The following is a 19,196-nucleotide window of genomic DNA, read 5'->3' as shown; positions in this document are numbered from 1 at the left end:
CGGATAGAGAATCAATAGTCTGAACGTGGAAAGGTTATCGCTGGAAGGTCTGTTTGATTCCACGGATCTCTCCTTTATTATTAAGGAAAAATATACGCTGTGCTAAATACTATACTTCATTGACTATTCTCAGGTCAGAAAGTGCACTTCAGACTTCTTGTGCTTCCATCGCTGAGAGGATGATGGTAGCTGCCAAAAGTACATACTTGGAAGTTCATCCCAGCACAAGCACACACACACACACACAAACACACACACACACACACACACACACACACACACACACACACACAGACACACACACGGTTTCATAGGTAAAGATTTCTTCCCTGACATTCTTTTACCTAAAATAAGGCAACTGTGTGGCCACTGTCCCAACCCGGTTACACTCATATTACATGTGTCTATCAGCCTGAGGAGTAATTTGATTCAGGTGTTCTAGAAGTCATGATGTGGGCTGTGTCTGTTGAATTCCCAGCGATGCAAGGGGACACACCCTGTGACTCATTCCTTAATTGAGTGCTGATATTTGATTGGTTTATCGCACACCTGATGGGTGGGTGGGGTGTTCGCGGTTGGAGGGGGTGAGTTATATAAGGGCTGATGCGGCCAGAGAGCTGGTCATTTGAAGACTCTCTCGGAAGAGATAGCGTCTTGCTGCAACCTGCGGTCCCAGCAGAAAAACCTTGTGATCCTTGTTGCGGGCGACATGGAAGACGACTCACTCTATTTGGGAGGTGACTGGCAGTTCAATCACTTTTCAAAACTCACATCTTCTCGGCTAGATGCAGCTTTTGCTGAAATCCAGCGGACTTCTCTCTCTGAAAAGTCACCACTCTCATCTGAGACCCGTTTCGACCTCTGTGATGATTTGGCTCCTGTGGCAAGACAGCTTGCTCCCAGGGAGAAGCTTCCTCTGAGTAGCAGGAGACCTGCTGCGGTGGGGGCTGGGCTCCAGAAGATAGGAAATACCTTCTATGTGAACGTTTCCCTGCAGTGCCTGACATACACACTGCCGCTTTCCAACTACATGCTGTCCCGGGAGGACTCTCAAACGTGTCATCTTCACAAGTGCTGCATGTTCTGTACTATGCAAGCTCACATCACATGGGCCCTCCACAGTCCTGGCCATGTCATCCAGCCCTCACAGGTATTGGCTGCTGGCTTCCATAGAGGTGAGCAGGAGGATGCCCATGAATTTCTCATGTTTACTGTGGATGCCATGAAAAAGGCATGCCTTCCCGGGCACAAGCAGCTAGATCATCACTCCAAGGACACCACCCTCATCCACCAAATATTTGGAGCGTATTGGAGATCTCAAATCAAGTATCTCCACTGCCACGGCGTTTCAGACACCTTTGACCCTTACCTGGACATCGCCCTGGATATCCAGGCAGCTCAGAGTGTCAAGCAAGCTTTGGAACAGTTGGTGAAGCCCAAAGAACTCAATGGAGAGAATGCCTATCATTGTGGTCTTTGTCTCCAGAAGGCGCCTGCCTCCAAGACGTTAACTTTACCCACTTCTGCCAAGGTCCTCATTCTTGTATTGAAGAGATTCTCCGATGTCACAGGCAACAAACTTGCCAAGAATGTGCAATATCCTAAGTGCCGTGACATGCAGCCATACATGTCTCAGCAGAACACAGGACCTCTTGTCTATGTCCTCTATGCTGTGCTGGTCCACGCTGGGTGGAGTTGTCACAACGGACATTACTTCTCTTATGTCAAAGCTCAAGAAGGCCAGTGGTATAAAATGGATGATGCCGAGGTCACTGCCTCTGGCATCACCTCTGTCCTGAGTCAACAGGCCTATGTCCTCTTTTACATCCAGAAGAGTGAATGGGAAAGACACAGTGAGAGTGTGTCAAGAGGCAGGGAACCAAGAGCCCTTGGTGCTGAAGACACAGACAGGCCAGCAACGCAAGGAGAGCTCAAGAGAGACCACCCTTGCCTCCAGGTACCCGAGTTGGACGAGCACTTGGTGGAAAGAGCCACTCAGGAAAGCACCTTAGACCACTGGAAATTCCCCCAAGAGCAAAACAAAACGAAGCCTGAGTTCAACGTCAGAAAAGTTGAAGGTACCCTGCCTCCCAACGTACTTGTGATTCATCAATCAAAATACAAGTGTGGTATGAAAAACCATCATCCTGAACAGCAAAGCTCCCTGCTAAACCTCTCTTCGACGAAACCGACAGATCAGGAGTCCATGAACACTGGCACACTCGCTTCTCTGCAAGGGAGCACCAGGAGATCCAAAGGGAATAACAAACACAGCAAGAGATCTCTGCTTGTGTGCCAGTGATCACAGTGGAAGTACCGACCCACACTGATGGGTGCACACACACACACACACAAACACAAATACACCCACAAGCGCGCACGGAAACACACACACACCCACACAAACACGAACACCGTCAATCCTACATAAAGTAATGAGGAGCCCCAGTTTCTGTCTCTACAACAGGGACAATTGGATAGTGATGGCTGCGTCTCAGGATGAGCCCACACATGGGAAACATCAAGTTTTGGGTTCGTGAGTCTTCCGAACCTCTGGAGGGACTGTCTGTGTGTTTGTGTTCATGGTAGATGACATTCAGTGTGTATTTCTTAATGTGACCTATTGACCTGTAGGTTTGCGTGTGAGGTTATTGCAGGGGACATGGTTTACTATTTCCTCTTGGGGTTTGTTTCATTCGTCAGTTGTTGGTCGGCAAGAGAAGGTGAAATTTTGCTCATGTGGTACATCCGTGGATCATTCTCGCCACCTTGAATAGTGGATACTGGAATTCAATTGGAAGATAGGAACGGTGCTCTCCTTTCTTACCCTGGCTCGCCCATTTTATTTTGGTTTCTGAATGGACCTCAGGTGCCCTGAGACTTGGGCTCTTGCTGGAACCCACATAACGCGGGAAACAGACAGACCGACTTACCTGTTTCACGGTGTCCACTTCCAATGAGTGGAACCGGAAAATTTTCCCACTGGCACGGAAGTCATTTGGAACTAAGTCTCATTGATACTAAAGGAAATCAAACACTGGAGTGTGTGTATTCATCTAAAATACATTCAGAAAGCCCTGACATAAACCTCATTTGGTGTGTTTACAAATGGCATTTGGGGAGATTCCAGGTCATTCATCCAGCTGCGAAAGCTGCATCTCTGAAACACAGTCCCTGTCCTGCAATCAGACTTATTTATCCGACGTGGTGTTTCTGTGGAAATTATTATGGGAAATGGCCCCTTCCTTTTCTGTATTTGCTGATTAGATTTCATGGTCCCTTTCTTGTTAGGTGCAGTGATCAAAGTTGACCAACCCCTGAGGAAAGCTGTCCAGGTCACAACTCAGGGCTCCGTAGAACCACAGAATCTTGGGCGCAACCCTGCTCAAGCACCCAAATGTGCATACGAACAGGGTCTCTGTGTGACGTGTGTGAAAACTACAGTGTGATGAGCATGACTTGCAGACAGGTTATCGATTGGGCTCCCCTCAAAATTAGTTATGAGCATTAAAGGACACCGATGCCCAGGTCCCGGCTGCAGGAATAAGACCCTCCGACGTCTTGTGTGAAGCCACGGCATCTGGATTGCTCATGCTTCTGGGGATCATTCTCCTGAAAATGGTGGCTCCTTCCTGCCTGTGGAGCACCTCTCTAAGCAGTGCCCTTTCTTCACCCAGGACACTTTACATCAGGCACAGAAAGCCTTCTGATGGAGCACACCTGGCCCATGAAAAGACAAGGGATAAGAAACGGGGCCAAACATCACAGTCCTCTCATTCCACCATCCTCCTTAAAATCATCCTAATTTCATGGGCTCTGCGGCCACGGCTGTTTCTTTACACCTCGAGACCTTGGCGCCAGGCCTCAATTCTGCCCCGGTGCTTACTGTCTAAGACATTTTGGGAAAATCCCTAGAGCCTGGATCTTCAATCCTGGTAAGCCAGAGAGCCTGGAGACACACCCAAATTATGTCCCTCTTAGTTCAGGGAACATGTCCATTTTCGTCAGCATTAAAATTTTGGCACCAAATGTGCTAACTGCAATTCCACCATACAATGCATAACTGGAAATAGAGGCAACATCTCATATCCTGAACAATTCATGTGAGAATCTAGGAGACACACCGCTTATTTTTGCCTTTTCCCACTGAAACAATGGCTAGTATTAACAATGTTATGCTATCCTTGGTTTCACTCCCCACTTTTAAATCTCTCGGATGTTTACTTCTTGAGACAGGGCGTCACTGCCGTCACCCACGCTTTTCTACGGTGTAATTTTTGTTGTTCGCTTTTGTCAAATTTAGAAATTTTCATTTCATCTCTATCAAATGTTGCTCCATTATCACATACGTATGAAAATATTATCACGCGTGCTGTGAGATACGTTGTTTTTATTTTCATCAATTCTTTTGTAAAACAAAGGTTATAGTTGGGATACCTTCTGATTTCTCAAGTTTTTTGTTTCATGTTTTCTTAAACTGCCGTCGCACGTCCAAAACCACTCGCTATGCAATGTCTTGACCATCTCTCTTTTCTGGCAAATATAAATTTTCGGAATGTCATCAATTAGTCTCTCGGTGATTGCATTATTTCCCCAAAGTCTTTTACAGTCTAGTTTGTGCACTGAGTATCTCTTCAAACTTCAGTGCATGTTTCTACGACTTAATGCTTTATTATTCAGCAATCTAGCTTCCACAAGAGCATTTAATGTAAAGACTTGTCTTTTTCTCCACTGGCAGGTAATTTCACTCGGATATAGAATCATTAGGCTGAACATGGAAAGGTTATCGCTGGGAGGTCTGTTTGATTCCACGGATCTCTCCTTTTTTATTGAGGAAAAAAATATGCTGTGCTAATTACTGTACTTCATTGCCTATTCTCAGGTCAGAAAGCGCACTTCAGACTTCTCCTTCTATCGCTGAAAGGATGATGGTATCTGCCAAAAGCACATACTCGGAAGTACATCCCAGCACAAACACACACACACACACACGCACACAAACACACATACTCACACGGTTTCATAGGTAAAGATTTCTTCCCTGACATTCTTTTACCTAAAATAAGGCAACTGTGTGGCCACTGTCCCAACCCGGTTACCATCATATTATATGTGCCTATCATCCTGAGGAGTAATTTGATGAAGGTGTTTTAGAAGTCATGATGTGGACTGTGTCTGTTGAATTCCCAGCGATGCAAGGGGACACACCCTGTGACTCATTCCTTAATTGAGTGCTGATATTTGATTGGTTTATTGCCCACCTTATGTGCGGGTGGGGTGTTCGCTCTTGGTGCGGGTGAGTTATGTAAGGGCTGATTTGGCCAGAGAACTCGTTATTTGAAGACTCTCTCGGAAGAGATAGCGTCTTTCTGCAACCTGCAGTCCCAGCAGAAAAACCTTGTGATCCTTGTTGCGGGCGACATGGAGGAAGACTCACTCTACTTGGGAGGTGAGTGGCAGTTCAACCACTTTTCAAAACTCACATCTTCTCAGCCAGATGCAGCTTTTCCTGAAATCCAGCGGACTTCTCTCCCTGAGAAGTCACCACTCTCATCGGAGACCCGTGTCGACCTCTGTGACGATTTGGCTCCTGTGACAAGACAGCTTGCTCCCAGGGAGAAGCTTCCTCCGAGTAGCAGGAGACCTGCTGCGGTGGGAGCTGGTCTCCAGAATATGGGAAATACCTGCCACTTGAATGCTTCCCTGCAGTGCCTGACATACACACCGCCCCTTGCCAACTACATGCTGTCCTGGGAGCTCTCTCAAATGTGTCATCGTCCCAAGTGCTGCATGCTCTGTATTATGGAAGCTCACAGCACACGGGCACCTCCACCGTCCTGGCCATGTCATCCAGCCCTCACAGGCATTGGCTGCTGACTTCCATAGAGGCAAGCAGGAAGATGCCCATGAATTTCTCATATTCACTGTGGATGCCATTAGAAAGGCATGCCTTCCCGGGCACAAGCAGCTAGATCATCACTGCAAGGACACCATCCTCATCCACCAAATATTTGGAGGGTACTAGAGATCTCAAATCAAGTGTCTCTACTTCCACGGCATTTCAGACACCTTCGACCCTTACCTGGATATCGCCCTGGATATCCAGGCAGCTCAGAGTGTCAAGCAAGCTTAGGAACAGTTGGTGAAGCCCGAAGAACTCAATGGAGAGAATGCCTATCATTGTGGTCTTTGTCTCCAGAAGGCGCCTGCCGCCAAGACGTTAACTTTACCCACTTCTGCCAAGGTCCTCATCCTTGTCTTGAAGAGATTCTCCGATGTCACAGGCAACAAACTTGCCAAGAATCTGCAATATCCTGAGTGCGTTGACATGCAGCCATACATGTCTCAGCAGAACACAGGACCTCTTTTCTATGTCCTCTATGCTGTTCTCGTCGTCACCGGGTGGAGTTGTCACAACGGACATTACTTCTCTTGTGTCAAACTCAAGAAGGCCAGTGGTATAAAATGGATGATGCCGAGGTCACTGCCTCTGGTATCACTTCTCCTTTGAGTCAACAGGCCTATGTCCTCTTTTACATCCAGAAGAATGAATTTGGAAGACCCAGTTACAGGGTGTCCGCAGGCAGAGAACCAAGAGCTCTTTGTGCTGAAGACAATTGAATTGTGGTGAAATAATATGTCATGAATAAATCTTGCAGCAGATTTATTTGTCTCACTTTGTAATCAGTGAATGAGCTTTAACGAATATCAATGCCTAGTGCCTACCCCCCAGAGATAAGAACTTCCAGTTTCTCATGTGTAATCATGGCATCTGGATTGCTCATGATTCTGAAGATAATTCTCCTGTCCCCCAAAGTTTCAGAATCACTTCAGGTGGTAGAAAGAGATAACACATCAGTCCCTTTCTCTCTCTTTTCTCTTCACTCAGGAAAACTCTCACTGGATCAAGGAAAATCCTATGGTTTACTAGGGAGGAGTAGTTTTCTCAGCAGTGAAAATGGTGGCTCCTTCCTCCCTGTCAAGTCTCTTCCTCAGGATTGCCCCTTTATCTCTTCAGGACTCTGCTCATCAGGCCCGAGATGCCCCCTGGTTGCGCATACTTGGCCTATGAAGAAATATGGGGAAGGAATGGTTCCAAAGACCATACTATGCTCACTCCACCATCGCCTCTGACACTATGCTGACTTCATGAGCCCTGGGTCAGAAGCTGTTTTCTTTACACCTCTAGGCCTTGCCTCATGGCCTAAAGACGTCCCCATTTCTTACATCTTATAAATTTTGACAAAACCCTCAGGGCCTAAATCTTCATTCCTCATAGGCCAAAGGGAGATACACCAGAATTCTGTCCCTCTGAGACTGCAGGACATCTCAGCTTCCATCAACATGAAATTTTGCACCAAATATAGTTACTGCAGTTCCACCTCACAATGAGTAACTGGAAGTTCAGAAAACATCTCAGACTCTATACAGTTTCTGGCCAAGCTCATTTGGTTTAACAATGCTTTTACTCTATAAATCAGTTGTGAGAACACTTAGGATTCATATTATTTAGTATTTTAATCAGTCTGTTATTATTTTCAATGTGTTTACTAGACTTTAGTTTAATATTTCTGATAAACTTTGATGCAAAAATTCTCGATATAATAGTGGCAAACCAAATCCAGCAACATATCAAAAACCTTATCCAGCAAGATCAAGTCAGCTTCTTCCCTTTGGTGCAAGGCTGGTTCAACAAACACAAATCAATAAATATAATTCACCATGTAAACCGAACTAAAGACAAAAACCCCATGATTATTTTAGTAGACTCAGAAAAGATCTTTGATAAAATTCAACATTCCTTTATGTTAAAAACCTCAGGAAACTAGGTATTGATGGAACATATCTCAAAATAATAAGAGTCATTTTTGACAAACCCACAGCCAATATCATATTGAATAGGCAAAAGCTGGAAGCATTCCTTTTGAAATTCGGCACAAGGCAAGGATGCCCTCTCTCACCACTCCTACTCCATATAGTACTGGAAGTTCTGGCCGAGGCAATCAGCCAAGAGAAACAAATAAAGCATATTCAAATAGTAAAAGAGAAGTTGAACTGTCTCTTTGTTTGCAGATGACATGATCCTATATCTATAAAATCCCATCATCTCAGCCCAAAAGATTCTTACGCTTATGAGCCACTGCAGTAAAGTCTCAAGATACAAAATCAGTGTGCAAAAATCGCAAGCATTCTTATACACCAACAATAGACAAGAAGAGAGCCAAATCACAAATAAGTTCCCATTTACAGTTGCTGCAGAGTATAAAATACCTAGGAATACAGCTAACAAGGCAAGTGAAGGACCTCTTCAAGGAGAACTACAAACCACTACTCAAGGAAATAAGAGAGGACACAAACAAATGGAAAAACATTCCATGCTCACGGGTAAGAAGAATCAATATCATGAAAATGCCATACTTCCCAAAGTAATTCATAGATTCAATGCTATTCCCATAAAGTACCATGGACATTCTTTACAAAATTAGAAAAAACTACTTCAAAATTCATATGGAATGAAAAAAGAGCCCATATACCCAGGACAATCCTAAGGTAAAATAACAAAGTTAGAGGCATCATGCTACCTAACTTCAAACTATATTACAAGGCTACAGTAACCCAACAGCATGGTAGTGGTACAAAACAGACACATAGACCAATGGAATGGAATAGATATATCAGAAATAAGACTGCACATCTACAACCATTTTATTTTTGATGAAAACAAGCAATGGGGAAAGGATTCCCTATTTAATAATAAATGGTGCTTGAAAAACTGGCTAGACATAGGCAGAAAACTGAAACTGTACCCCTTCCTTATACCTTATACAAAAATGAACTGAAAATGGATTAAAGACTTAAATGTAAAACCCAAAACTGTAAAAAATCCAACCCCATATAAAAGTGGGCAAAAGCTGGGTACAGTGGCTCATGCCTGTAATCCCAGCAGTTTGGGAGGGTGAAGTGGGCAGATAACTTGAGGCCAGGAATTCAAGATCAGCCTGGCCAAGCTGGTGAAACCACGTCTCTACTGAAAATACAATAAATTAGCCGGATGTAGTGGTGCAGACCTGTAATCCCAACTACTCAAGAGCCTGAGAGAGAAGAATCGCCTGAATCTGGGAGGCAGAAGTTGCAGTGACCCGAGATTGTGCCACTGAACTCCACCCTGAGTGACACAGCAAGACTCTGTCTTAAAAAATAAAAATGTAAAAATTTCAAAAGTGGGCAGAGGACATGAACAGACACTTCTCAAAAGAAGACATTTATGCAGCCAACAAACATGAAAAAAAAGCCCAACATTACTGATCATTAGAGAAATACAAATCAAAACCGCAGTGAGATACCATCTCATGCCAGTCAGAATGGTGATTATTAAAAAGTCAAAAAACAACAGATGCTGGTGAGACTGTGGGGAAATAGGAGAACTTTTACACTGTTGGTGCGAATGTAAGTTAGTTCAACCACTGTGGAAGACTGTGGTGATTTTTCAAAGACCTAGAATCAGAAATACCATTTGACCCAGCAATCCCATTACTGCATATATACTCAAAGGAATATAAATTCTTGTATTATAAAGATACATGCATGGGTATGTTCATTGCAGCACTATTCATGAAAGCAAAGACATAGAATCAACCCAAATGCCCATCAATGATAGACTGGATACAGAAACTGTGATACATATACACCATGGAATACTATGCAGCCATAAAAAGGAATGAGATCATGTCCTTTGCAGGGACATGGATGAAGCTGGAAGTCATTATTCTCAGCAAACTAATGCAGGAACAGAAAACCAAATACACATGTTCTCACTTAATAAGTGGGAGATGAAAAATGAGAGAACATAGACACAGGGAGGGGAACAACACACACTGGAGCCTGTCTGTGGGTGAGTGGGGAGGGAGTGCATCAGGATGAATAGCTAATGCATGTGGGCTGAATACCTAGGTGATGGGTTGATAGGTACAGGAAACCACCATGGCACACATTTACCTATGTAACAAACCTGCGCATCATGCACATGTATCCCAGAACTTAAAATGAAATAAAATAAAATTTTAAAAAACTTTATTTTTTCTAACCTTCCAAAATGCAGGGATTACAGGCATAAGCCACCATGCCTGGCCCTGTTTTAACATATCTGAACAAGATTTAAGACATCAGTTTGAAAAGAGCCCCTCTATGGCAGCAACATGAATTCTGTCAAACCTGAAGCAAGAACAAACATCAAATTTACGGTGAAGCTGGGGTACAAAAAATGGTGAAATAAATTATTCTTTAAGAAAAGTCTATGGGAAAAATGACCTGAAGAATCAGTCATTTACAAACGGATACCTTATTCTAAGAAGCGATAATACAATGTTGAAGATGAAGTCAACAGAGGAGGGACATCCATACCAATTTTTGAGAAAAAAAAAATCGTTTCTATGCCTTCATTGAGGAGGATTGACAATTAACAAGAGATACTGTAGCCAACATCACAGACATCTCAATTGGTTCAGCTTACACAATACTGACTATAACGTGAAAGTTGAGAAACTTTACATTTGATGAGTCCCAAATAACCTTGTGCCTAGATCAGCAGTGGACAAAAGCAGAGCTATTAGTAACTATTTTGAGCAAGCGGAATCAAGATCCTGAAGCATTATTTTGAAGAATTTTAACAGGGAGTGAAACTGGCTTTATCAATAAGATCCTGAAGACAAAGCACAATTCAAGCCATGGCTACCAAGAGGTAGAAGTGGTCCAGTCAAAGCAAAAGCAAACTTCTCAAAAGCAAAAGCCATGGAGGTTTTGGGGATGCTCAAGGTATTTTGCTTGTTGACTTTCTGTAAGATCAAAGCACCACAACATCTGCTTACTAGGAGAGTTCTTAGAGAAAATTAGCAAATACTTTTGCAGAAAAGCGCCCTGTAAAGCTTCACTAGAGAGTCCCTCTGCACCACAACAACACTTCTGTTCCTTCCTCTCATCAAACATGGGTAATTTTGCAAGAGTTTTCATGGGAAATTATTAGGCATCAACATTACAGTCCTGATTTGGTTTCTTCTGACCTTTTTTTCCCTAACCTTAAAATAACTGTAAAGGGCACCCATTTTTCTTTAGTTAATAATAGAAGACTGCATTGACACGGTTAAATTCCCGTTACCCTCAGTTGTTTAGCAATGGACTGAATGGCTGGGATCATCCTTTAATGGAGTGTCTGGACCTCAGTAGAGCTTATATTGAGAAATAAAGTTTATATTTATATTTTTATTGTTAATTCCATTTTTCACTGACATTTTTAAATCCCTTCACAATTCACGTTTGTCTCAAAGGTATTTAAATTTAGAAATCATATCAAGTGTGAAATAAAAAAATTATATAGACAGAGGGAGAACAGAATCTATAAATATGCATGTTTGTGTACATACATCCATATACATACATATGTGTGTGCATGCAGTAATTTTATTGCCCTAAAGCAATGCCTCTGCCTTCCACCCTCACTGCACATGTCCTAGTCCTGTGATGTCCCTGGAACTGAGCACCTGATTTCCTTCTCTGCCTCCCACATGAACAGGGAATAGAAATGGAAACCACGTTCTGTGGTTGCTGTTGTGAAAATCCATGTTCCCCACAGGCTGAGTTTAGCATCTTACATTCTAGTTCTCATTGTAAAAAAGCAAGCAACAAACAAAAACTACAAAAGAAAAAATGAAATAGTTGAAAGTCTAGAGCCACAGAGGTTCCGGATCTACCCACCGCCCACGGTGACCTCCACAGCCCTCCAGGCCTGAGGACAGCTATGCCTGAACAGCCTGCCTCTTCACCATCCACGCAGGAAAGTGACTTTAAACTTCAATAGCTATTACTCTGTTCCACAAGGAACCAGGTCAACATTCAAAGTCAGTGGTCTGACAACTCTAAGCTTTGGCCGGAAAGTATTGGAAACATTTAACGTGCAGTGGATGAAGCAGCCCGGCCCCACTGCACACAACACACTCACAGGGACTCAAAGGAAGAGACTCAGGATCCGCTGGGTGGAAGTGAGGACAGACCCAGAAACACAGAGGGTGGGAAGGGGTCAAACCAGGAAGGCTCAGGACCTGACCTCCTCCTAGGCCCTGCCTCTCTAGAACTCGCAGTTTTTTCTGACCTAGAAGCGGATTTCACTGATGGAAAAGAAGTTCAGTATTTCTGTTCCAGCCCAGTAAGCTGCTCCCATTGCCCAGCCTTCCACACCCCTGCAGACGTCACAATCCCTGCACCCACTAACCTGACAAGGGAGCTATGCATCACCTGGAGACAGTCCTAGGCCTGCACTCCTGTGATGGGGTCCAGGGTCTGTGTCCATTTCTGGTTAAAATTGCTGTAAGGCTGGTCGCTGTCTTGGCCTTCCCTGCTTCCTCTCTGTTCAATTCTCCCCTCCTCACCCCATGTGAAGCTTTTACTCAGGAGATGGATTCTCACCCCTCTTGGAACATCAAGGATAGTGCCAGGACACCGCACCATCCCCTTGACCCTGGGATTCTGTAGACCTCAGTCTTCTCCTGAGGTCCCCTCCCTCCCTACCTCATTTTTTCCATACTTCTGGGGCCTGGGCCTGCTACACCTCAGGGTTCCTCTTCACAGTCACAGAGTGAGGGAGCCCCCTTCATCCTTGGGCTCTGGCCACAGCTCACCTGCTGCAGGACACTCAGCAGCTTTCAGTAGTTCATCCAGACATCCAGTTGGAAGTGGGATTTCCTGGAAGGAAAGCAGGAACCCAGAATTACACTGAATTTTAACACCAGGGCCCAGGTTCCCCTTCTGCATGGGAAACTAAGCTGCAAACACTACATAGGCACTTAATGCTCAGCTGTCCTTCTAACATCTGGTCCAATTGTGTCCCTCCTCCTTGGAATATCTCAGAAAATGTATCTCCACCTAGAGTTGTTTGAAAGCATCATCCTATGTGATTCCAGACCATCAGGGGGTGCAATGGGTCCTCACCAGAATTTCCACTCTGCTTGGAAGACTTAGAAAATCCTGAGGCTGCTCAGAGGGTCAGATTCCCATCGCTGTGTTTCAGTAAAACTTCAGTCTTCCCTGGACAAGTGAGGAGACAGAAAATGTCTAGTCTCTGGCACATCTTTTGCAAGCAATGGCAGCTCCCAGGAATCAATACTATCAACGAATATATTTTTGAGATTCTGGTCAAAAGAAGAGTCATCCTGCAATTTCAGGTAGGATGGAGTGGTTCTGTGGCTCCTGAGGTGATTTTGAAAAGATCTTGACTCTCAGAAGGACCAAGGAGGACATTTCTGGCATTTCCAGACCAGGAAGAGTGACTGATGGACCTCCAGTGTTACTTGGAAAAATTTTGTTGGACAGCTTTGTAATAAGAGGATCTTGCTTTGGCTTTCAGGCCTTCACATAGGTTGTTTAGATCATGGAAGTGTTTCTGCATTTCTGCATAGGCTCAGGATGCTTTCTCAAGTCGTCCCTGTAATTATGAGACAGTTGCTTTCTCCAGAGGTCACTTAGAATAATACAAGAGGCTTCACCCTCAAAGGGACACCAGACAATATAGCCACAGTCCAGCCAAGATTATCTGTATTTACATACCTGTAAAGTAACACTCCTAGTGATCTCCATTAACTTGGACATCTTTCATGAATAGGGAAATCTAGTGATTGTTATATAACAGCTGCCACAAAAATTAATCAATAAAAAGAAACGATATATGAAAAATAATTAATAATCATGATAATGAACTCAATAACCTAAATAGTACGAATTTTAATACTGGAGACAATATAAATGTAAGGATACAAAAATTAATGTGGAGCTTCCCCTAAATATATGAAAACTTCACAGACTGTGTCCTCCTTGTGTAATTTGGAGTCAGAGTCAAAGAATTTCTCTATGAAATGTGTTCCATGATGGCAAACATCAAAAACAGGAGGTGAAAGAAAAGCAAGCTGCAGGAGACCATGGGCTAATATGAACATTTGTGTGCAAACCTCTCTCATCAAGAACTACCAGCCAGAGGTGAAGGGACTGTGATTTGTGTCCTGCCCACCACTGGGCACACAAAAGCTTTCAGTAGTGCAACCAGATGGCTGGTTTGGCCTGGCTCCCTGCAAGGAAGACAAGTCTCTGATCCCCACCAGCCCATCAGTCCTGGAACTCAGAATCCTACATGCAGTAAACATGAAGCTCCAACTCCATAGCTGACTTTACCTCCTTACTGACCTTCTGCCATCTGGTGTTTCAGGTGCTCTCCAGATCTGGACTTCTTGGCTCCCCTACCTTTACCAAGTGAACTCAGGATGTATCATTCTCAGTCTTCTCCTGCCAGTCCAAAGTGAAACTCACCAATACAAGCATACCCTGGATGGGCTTTCTTGGAATATTTAGAAAACAATGAGCTTGCTCGGGGGTGGTGTGAGCTCTAGGAGTAGAGTTACAGTCTCCCATGGAAACCTGAGAGGACTTAGAATATTCCCAAAGGCCTAAGCAGTCCAATCTGTCCTGGAAACATCAGGAATGATATACTCAGTCTTCCTGAGGCTCCAAAATTTTTCCAAATAAACTCAGAGATTACAGAACCATTTTTCTCTTGGGAACTGAAGTGGAGTTATTTGCCTTCTGCCAGCATCTCACTTTTTTTTTCTCTAAGTTAGCTTTTGAGCCCAGAAGTAGATATTCCTTGTATTTGATTTACATAGGGAGCTTCCTAGAATGCCCGTGCCTCTGGATAGTTTCTGCATTCACTCAGGTATTGACAAAATACTGCAGTTCTACTGAAAATCTCTGAGATGACCATTTGATCACCTGAGTAACTTTTGAATGTGTCTTCTATGGAAGCCCTGGAGCCTCCCTTCTGGTATTTCATACACTGCCGGTACCAAGTATCCAGGGTGAAACCCTCCATCAGACATTGTTGGCAATTCCAGTATGGAGATGACACTAACGTGATGGGGCTCAAGAATCAGATGGTAGAAGAGCAGCTGGGAGGTGAAGTCTCAGTAGGCTAGGGGCTTAATGTTCGATGCACACCAGACTTCTGAGACTCAGGAGGCGTGTGTGTATCTGTCTGCCCAGTGTCTCTCATCTACAGCCTGGACCAGCTATTTCTTGGGGTGAACTACTGAAGGCTTTTGTACGACCTGTGTCAGGCAAGACTCTGGCCAGACCCTTTGCCATAGTCCATTTGTAATGTATTTCCACATGGCACAGGTATCTCCACTTTTGCCCATGCTCTCATGTGGCTCAGAATTATTCTCCCTACTGCCATTCTTCTTTGCCATCACAGAAGATATTTCAAGGTGTAGCCCTAAGCTTCTCCATCTAATCAATAACATGAGGGTTCGTATGGGAACACTGTCACAGGCTTACAGGAATATGTTCTTAAATATCTGCTTTTCTATTACTCTCTTCATTAAATTGACATTTATATCATCACCATTATGATTGTTATTAATGTTATTATTATATTGGTACAGTTCTTTATCATGGATATATTTGTGGTCGTTTTTATGCAATGTTGAATAATTGTTTTATGTTCCTGAAGACTGTTGAATTTGCTGAAGATGATTAAAAGACAACCTTAAAACATAAATACCACAGCAACCCCAGGAATCCTACTGTACTGCTTGGTGTCCTGTAGAAGAATGGGCTTCCTGAATTATTCTTTTATTTTTCAGGCAAGTACCTATTCATACCAGCATAGGAGACTGATGAAGTGCACCCTCATCTTGCCATGGGCTCAGAAAGAATTCGTACATATGCTTTATGTGATAGCAACTCTATGTGTAGGCCTGTGAGCCCTAGAATGCACTTTCTTTCACCAACTAGTCCACCTAACAGTTTTCTAAGTCAAATCCCCTCTCCATGCTTGGATAGGTCATGAATGGCTTTCTGTTACCCACCTAAGATGAAGGGATATTGCTAAATCAGGTTTGTGGCCAAGAAACTTTTATCTGGAGTGGCAGGAGAGGGCCTACCTGTTCACCAGAGTGTCTGCAACATTTTCTTTTTTTTCCTTTTTATTTATTTATTTATTTATTTTTTAGATAGAGTCTCGCTCCGTCACTCAGGCTGGAGTCCAGTGTCGCGATCTTGGCTCGCTGCAACCTCCGACTCCCAGGTTCAAGCGATTCTCCTGCCTCAGCCTCCTGAGTAGCTGGGATTACAGGTGCGTGTCACCACGCCCAGCTAATTTTTGTATTTTCAGTAGAGAGGGGGTTTCACCATGTTAGTCAGACTGGTCTCAAACTCCTGACCTCATGATCCACCTGCGTTGGCCTCCCAAAGTTCTGGGATTACAGGCATAAGGCGCCGCACCTGGCCTCTGCAACATTTTCTAAGTCGGTGTAGAAGCTCTTTGAACCACCTTTTCAGTCAAAGAACTCATGAAAAAGTCCTCCAAGAACTTGTGACCTTCTGGAAATTGTCAAAATCTCTACAGGTGTCCAGAGTCATCTAGATCTGTATTGCAAGCCACTGACTGGGTTCCAACATTATTAAAGCAAATGCAAAATATGCCATGCCCACCAAAAAAAATCCAGAAGCCATGGTATTTAGCTGTTTCCATCTTTCTTGCCTCCTGCAGGTGGGAGAGTACTGAGTATCATGCCCTCCTACAGCCTCTGGAGGACATGCCAATGTCTAGAGGTACCAGTAGAGAGGGGCCATGAAAGACAGATGACAGCCAGGTTGCTGGGAATGACATTGTCCTGGGGCTTATTGCTTGTCATGAACTCTGCCACTGGGCAACATGTGCAGGTGTGGACCCGTGCCTTCTCTGGATCCCTGCCCCATCAGCCAGCTGTCTTATCTCCTGAAAGCTGATAGGTGTTGGTCAGCATGGTGTTCCAGGACCAGGGTTATATTAACATTCTCTCTTAGGCTGAAACACCAGAAGTTAACACAGGAGTCCCCAGGTGTGCACATACTAACCTCCAGATTGTTTTTCTTCTCGTTCTAGATGTTCATCCTTGCTTTTTGGGACTTGAAATAACCCTACACAGCCAAATATTTATGCCTATTATCCACTTATGGAAAACTTATATGTCCCAAGTCCATAGGGTTAGTATTATTATCACTATTAAAACCATTAGTACTAGTATCATGATGATCATTATTCCTGTTAATATCCATCAATATTTTTATTACTGCCATTGTTAATATGGATTTTTCATTATTGTACAGCAATGAATATAGTTTATCCATTCACAAATGGTGTTCAGTTACCAAAGATGACTACAAGGCATGTTCTACAGACATATACACACACAGCTGTCCTGGAGACCCAGCTTTGCCACCAATTGCTCTTTCATAAGATGAGATCCCCCAGTACCCACCAGTTTTTCAGGACTCGACCTGAGCTGGCTCAGCTAGACCTGGAAAAGTTTCCTATGCCCAAATGTACTTGGAAAAATTTTAAAGTCTCTTCAGAGGCCCAGTAATAGCTTTTGGCAGCTTCTAAGACCAGGGAGGGTTTCTTGGCCATTCAGAGCCATTCAAATATTCCAAGTAAACTCAAGGATCCAGAAACCCCACTCGCAGTCATGAAATACCAGTGAATGGCCTCTGTGAGTCTCTTCAAGGTTTTCAAAGATGACTGCCTGAGAAGGCTGGCCAGGAAGTCACCCAAGCCCAACCTTCTGCAGGACGTTCTATGACAGCCAGGGACCCAGGGAATTGCCATTGAACAGAAGGGAGGAACAGAGACGGCACGCCTGAGCTTCTGGAAACATTCTAAGTGCCCTTGTTGGCCCAGAAAAGACTGGTGCTACCATATGAGGCACAGACTTGGCAACCTACCTACTCCAGGAACCACAGAAGGTTTAAAGGTTCCCAGGAAGTCCCAGGAAGGGCAGCCATAGCCCTTTAGAGCCATCAGATTTTATTCTAAGTCTACTTGGGAGACAGTGCTCTTAGCTTCATAAAAACACCAGTGGTGGTGCTAACACTTGCCCCAGTATCCAGTCTTTTCTACCTCATCTCAGAGCCAGGCAGCCACTATTTCCCAAAGCTGCTGTGCAATGAAAGGGGAATATTCTAGGTGCTCTCCTGTGCCCACGAAATTCTGTGGCTGCGCTGAAAGGCAGGAGATGTCCTCCGGAATGCTCTTCAGAAATCTGACAACACTGGTCAAGATTAAAGAAGCTCAATTCAACGTCATACAAAACCAATCCCAAATATATATATGTGCATAGTGAGACAAAATGATGAACACATCTGCTAATAATCATGAATGACAATAATAACAACAATGATGATCTTAGTGATAATGCCACCAACACTGTTAATGGCAATAACAATAAACCTGAGGTAATGAGTGTTAGGGTCCCTATTCACCGATGTGAAGGATGGCGACAATTTCTGGCCTCACAGAAATAAAGGAAAAGTAAACACCTGGAGGAGGAGGAGGTGAACCTGGAGCTCCCGCCGGCCTCTGGGCGCTCCTTGGTGGAAGGAGAGGGACTTGGTCCTGAGCCTGCCCCGGATCCACCTACACCAGAACCCCGGAGTCCCAGTCCCTGGATGGGCTCAGTCCCACCCAGGCCAGACGCCCCGGAGCCCCGCAGCCCGGGTCCTCCAGCCCTCGCTGCCGCCGCTTCTCGCGGAGCCAGGGCCGCCCCCGCGCCACCTCAGCCTCTGCGTGGCTCTGGGAGGGCAGCGCCGGAGGATGCTCCGGGCCCAGCGGGGGCATCTGGGCCCAGCGGGGGTATCCAGCCTCAGGCTGATACTGACGCCCTGAGGGCGCGGAATAGGGCGGCCTGCGCAAGGCCCGCCGTCTCGGGCCTTGCAAAAAGAGCGGCCTCTCCAACGCCCCTACCGGAACCTCCCCGGAGGCCCCAGCCCCAAAGCCAGGGCGATGGCGCCTCCCTGACAATGGGTGAAGAAAACTCAGGTCCTCCCTGGAGACCCGGCCCGCCGCGGGAGGCAGACCGCGCATGCGCCCTGCATGGCCGGAAAGGTGGGTTTCATTGCCCTCTGCTGGCCATGAGGTGGCAGCACAGGACGTTTGGTCTTAGCGGTGGACCTGAGTCTGAATCACTGAAATTCAGGTGTGGATTATTCAGTACTTTCTTTTGGAAGATCAAATGGAAATTGAGTACGATATCTTGTGCTTTAATTAAAGAAGATGGAAATAAAGAAGCAAATTCAAAAATCAGTATACAAAAGTCGATTGATTCCCTCTATGTGGAGGGAAG

At 44.7% G+C, this 19,196-nt stretch overlaps 1 protein-coding gene, 1 long non-coding RNA gene and 1 pseudogene across 3 annotated transcripts in view, besides 1 other annotated feature; 2 read left to right on the top strand and 1 right to left on the bottom strand.

The window, feature by feature from the left end:
- FAM66D (family with sequence similarity 66 member D) overlaps nucleotides 1-18,937 on the bottom strand; it is a 35,408-nt gene extending 16,471 nt beyond the window's left edge. The window contains exons 1-2 of the long non-coding RNA NR_027425.1: nucleotides 18,394-18,937; nucleotides 12,669-12,732 (exon numbers count right to left, since the gene is read on the bottom strand). This is a non-coding gene — a long non-coding RNA (family with sequence similarity 66 member D). The remainder of the gene's footprint in view (nucleotides 1-12,668; nucleotides 12,733-18,393) is intronic.
- USP17L7 (ubiquitin specific peptidase 17 like family member 7) lies at nucleotides 620-2,302 on the top strand. Its single transcript, NM_001256869.2, has one exon. It carries the CDS (start codon nucleotides 710-712, stop codon nucleotides 2,300-2,302), a length of 1,593 nt encoding a protein of 530 aa, NP_001243798.1. The 5' UTR covers nucleotides 620-709.
- LOC392196 (ubiquitin specific peptidase 17 like family member 2 pseudogene) lies at nucleotides 5,422-6,861 on the top strand (annotated as a pseudogene). Its single transcript, NR_003275.2, has one exon. The product of NR_003275.2 is annotated as a ubiquitin specific peptidase 17 like family member 2 pseudogene (transcript).
- Nucleotides 11,577-12,077: an enhancer, noted in NCBI's record as "H3K27ac hESC enhancer chr8:11980151-11980651 (GRCh37/hg19 assembly coordinates)". NCBI's record gives its function as "activates a minimal SCP1, AML or CMV promoter by ChIP-STARR-seq in primed H9 embryonic stem cells {active_cell/tissue: H9 hESC(primed)}" and the evidence as "EXISTENCE:reporter gene assay evidence [ECO:0000049][PMID:30033119]".
- Nucleotides 18,938-19,196: the final 259 nt, after the last annotated feature.

Source organism: Homo sapiens, chromosome 8 (assembly GCF_000001405.40).
Source record: "Homo sapiens chromosome 8, GRCh38.p14 Primary Assembly".
In the NCBI taxonomy this organism is placed as follows: domain Eukaryota; kingdom Metazoa; phylum Chordata; class Mammalia; order Primates; family Hominidae; genus Homo; species Homo sapiens.
The sequence above is the reverse complement of the archived record's forward strand: the minus strand, read 5'-3'. Positions and strand labels throughout refer to the sequence as shown.

What these genes read in the sequence shown, in the direction of transcription:
- USP17L7 (NM_001256869.2), top strand. Translation starts at nt 710, where the DNA reads ATGGAAGACGACTCACTCTATTTGGGAGGTGACTGGCAGTTCAATCAC.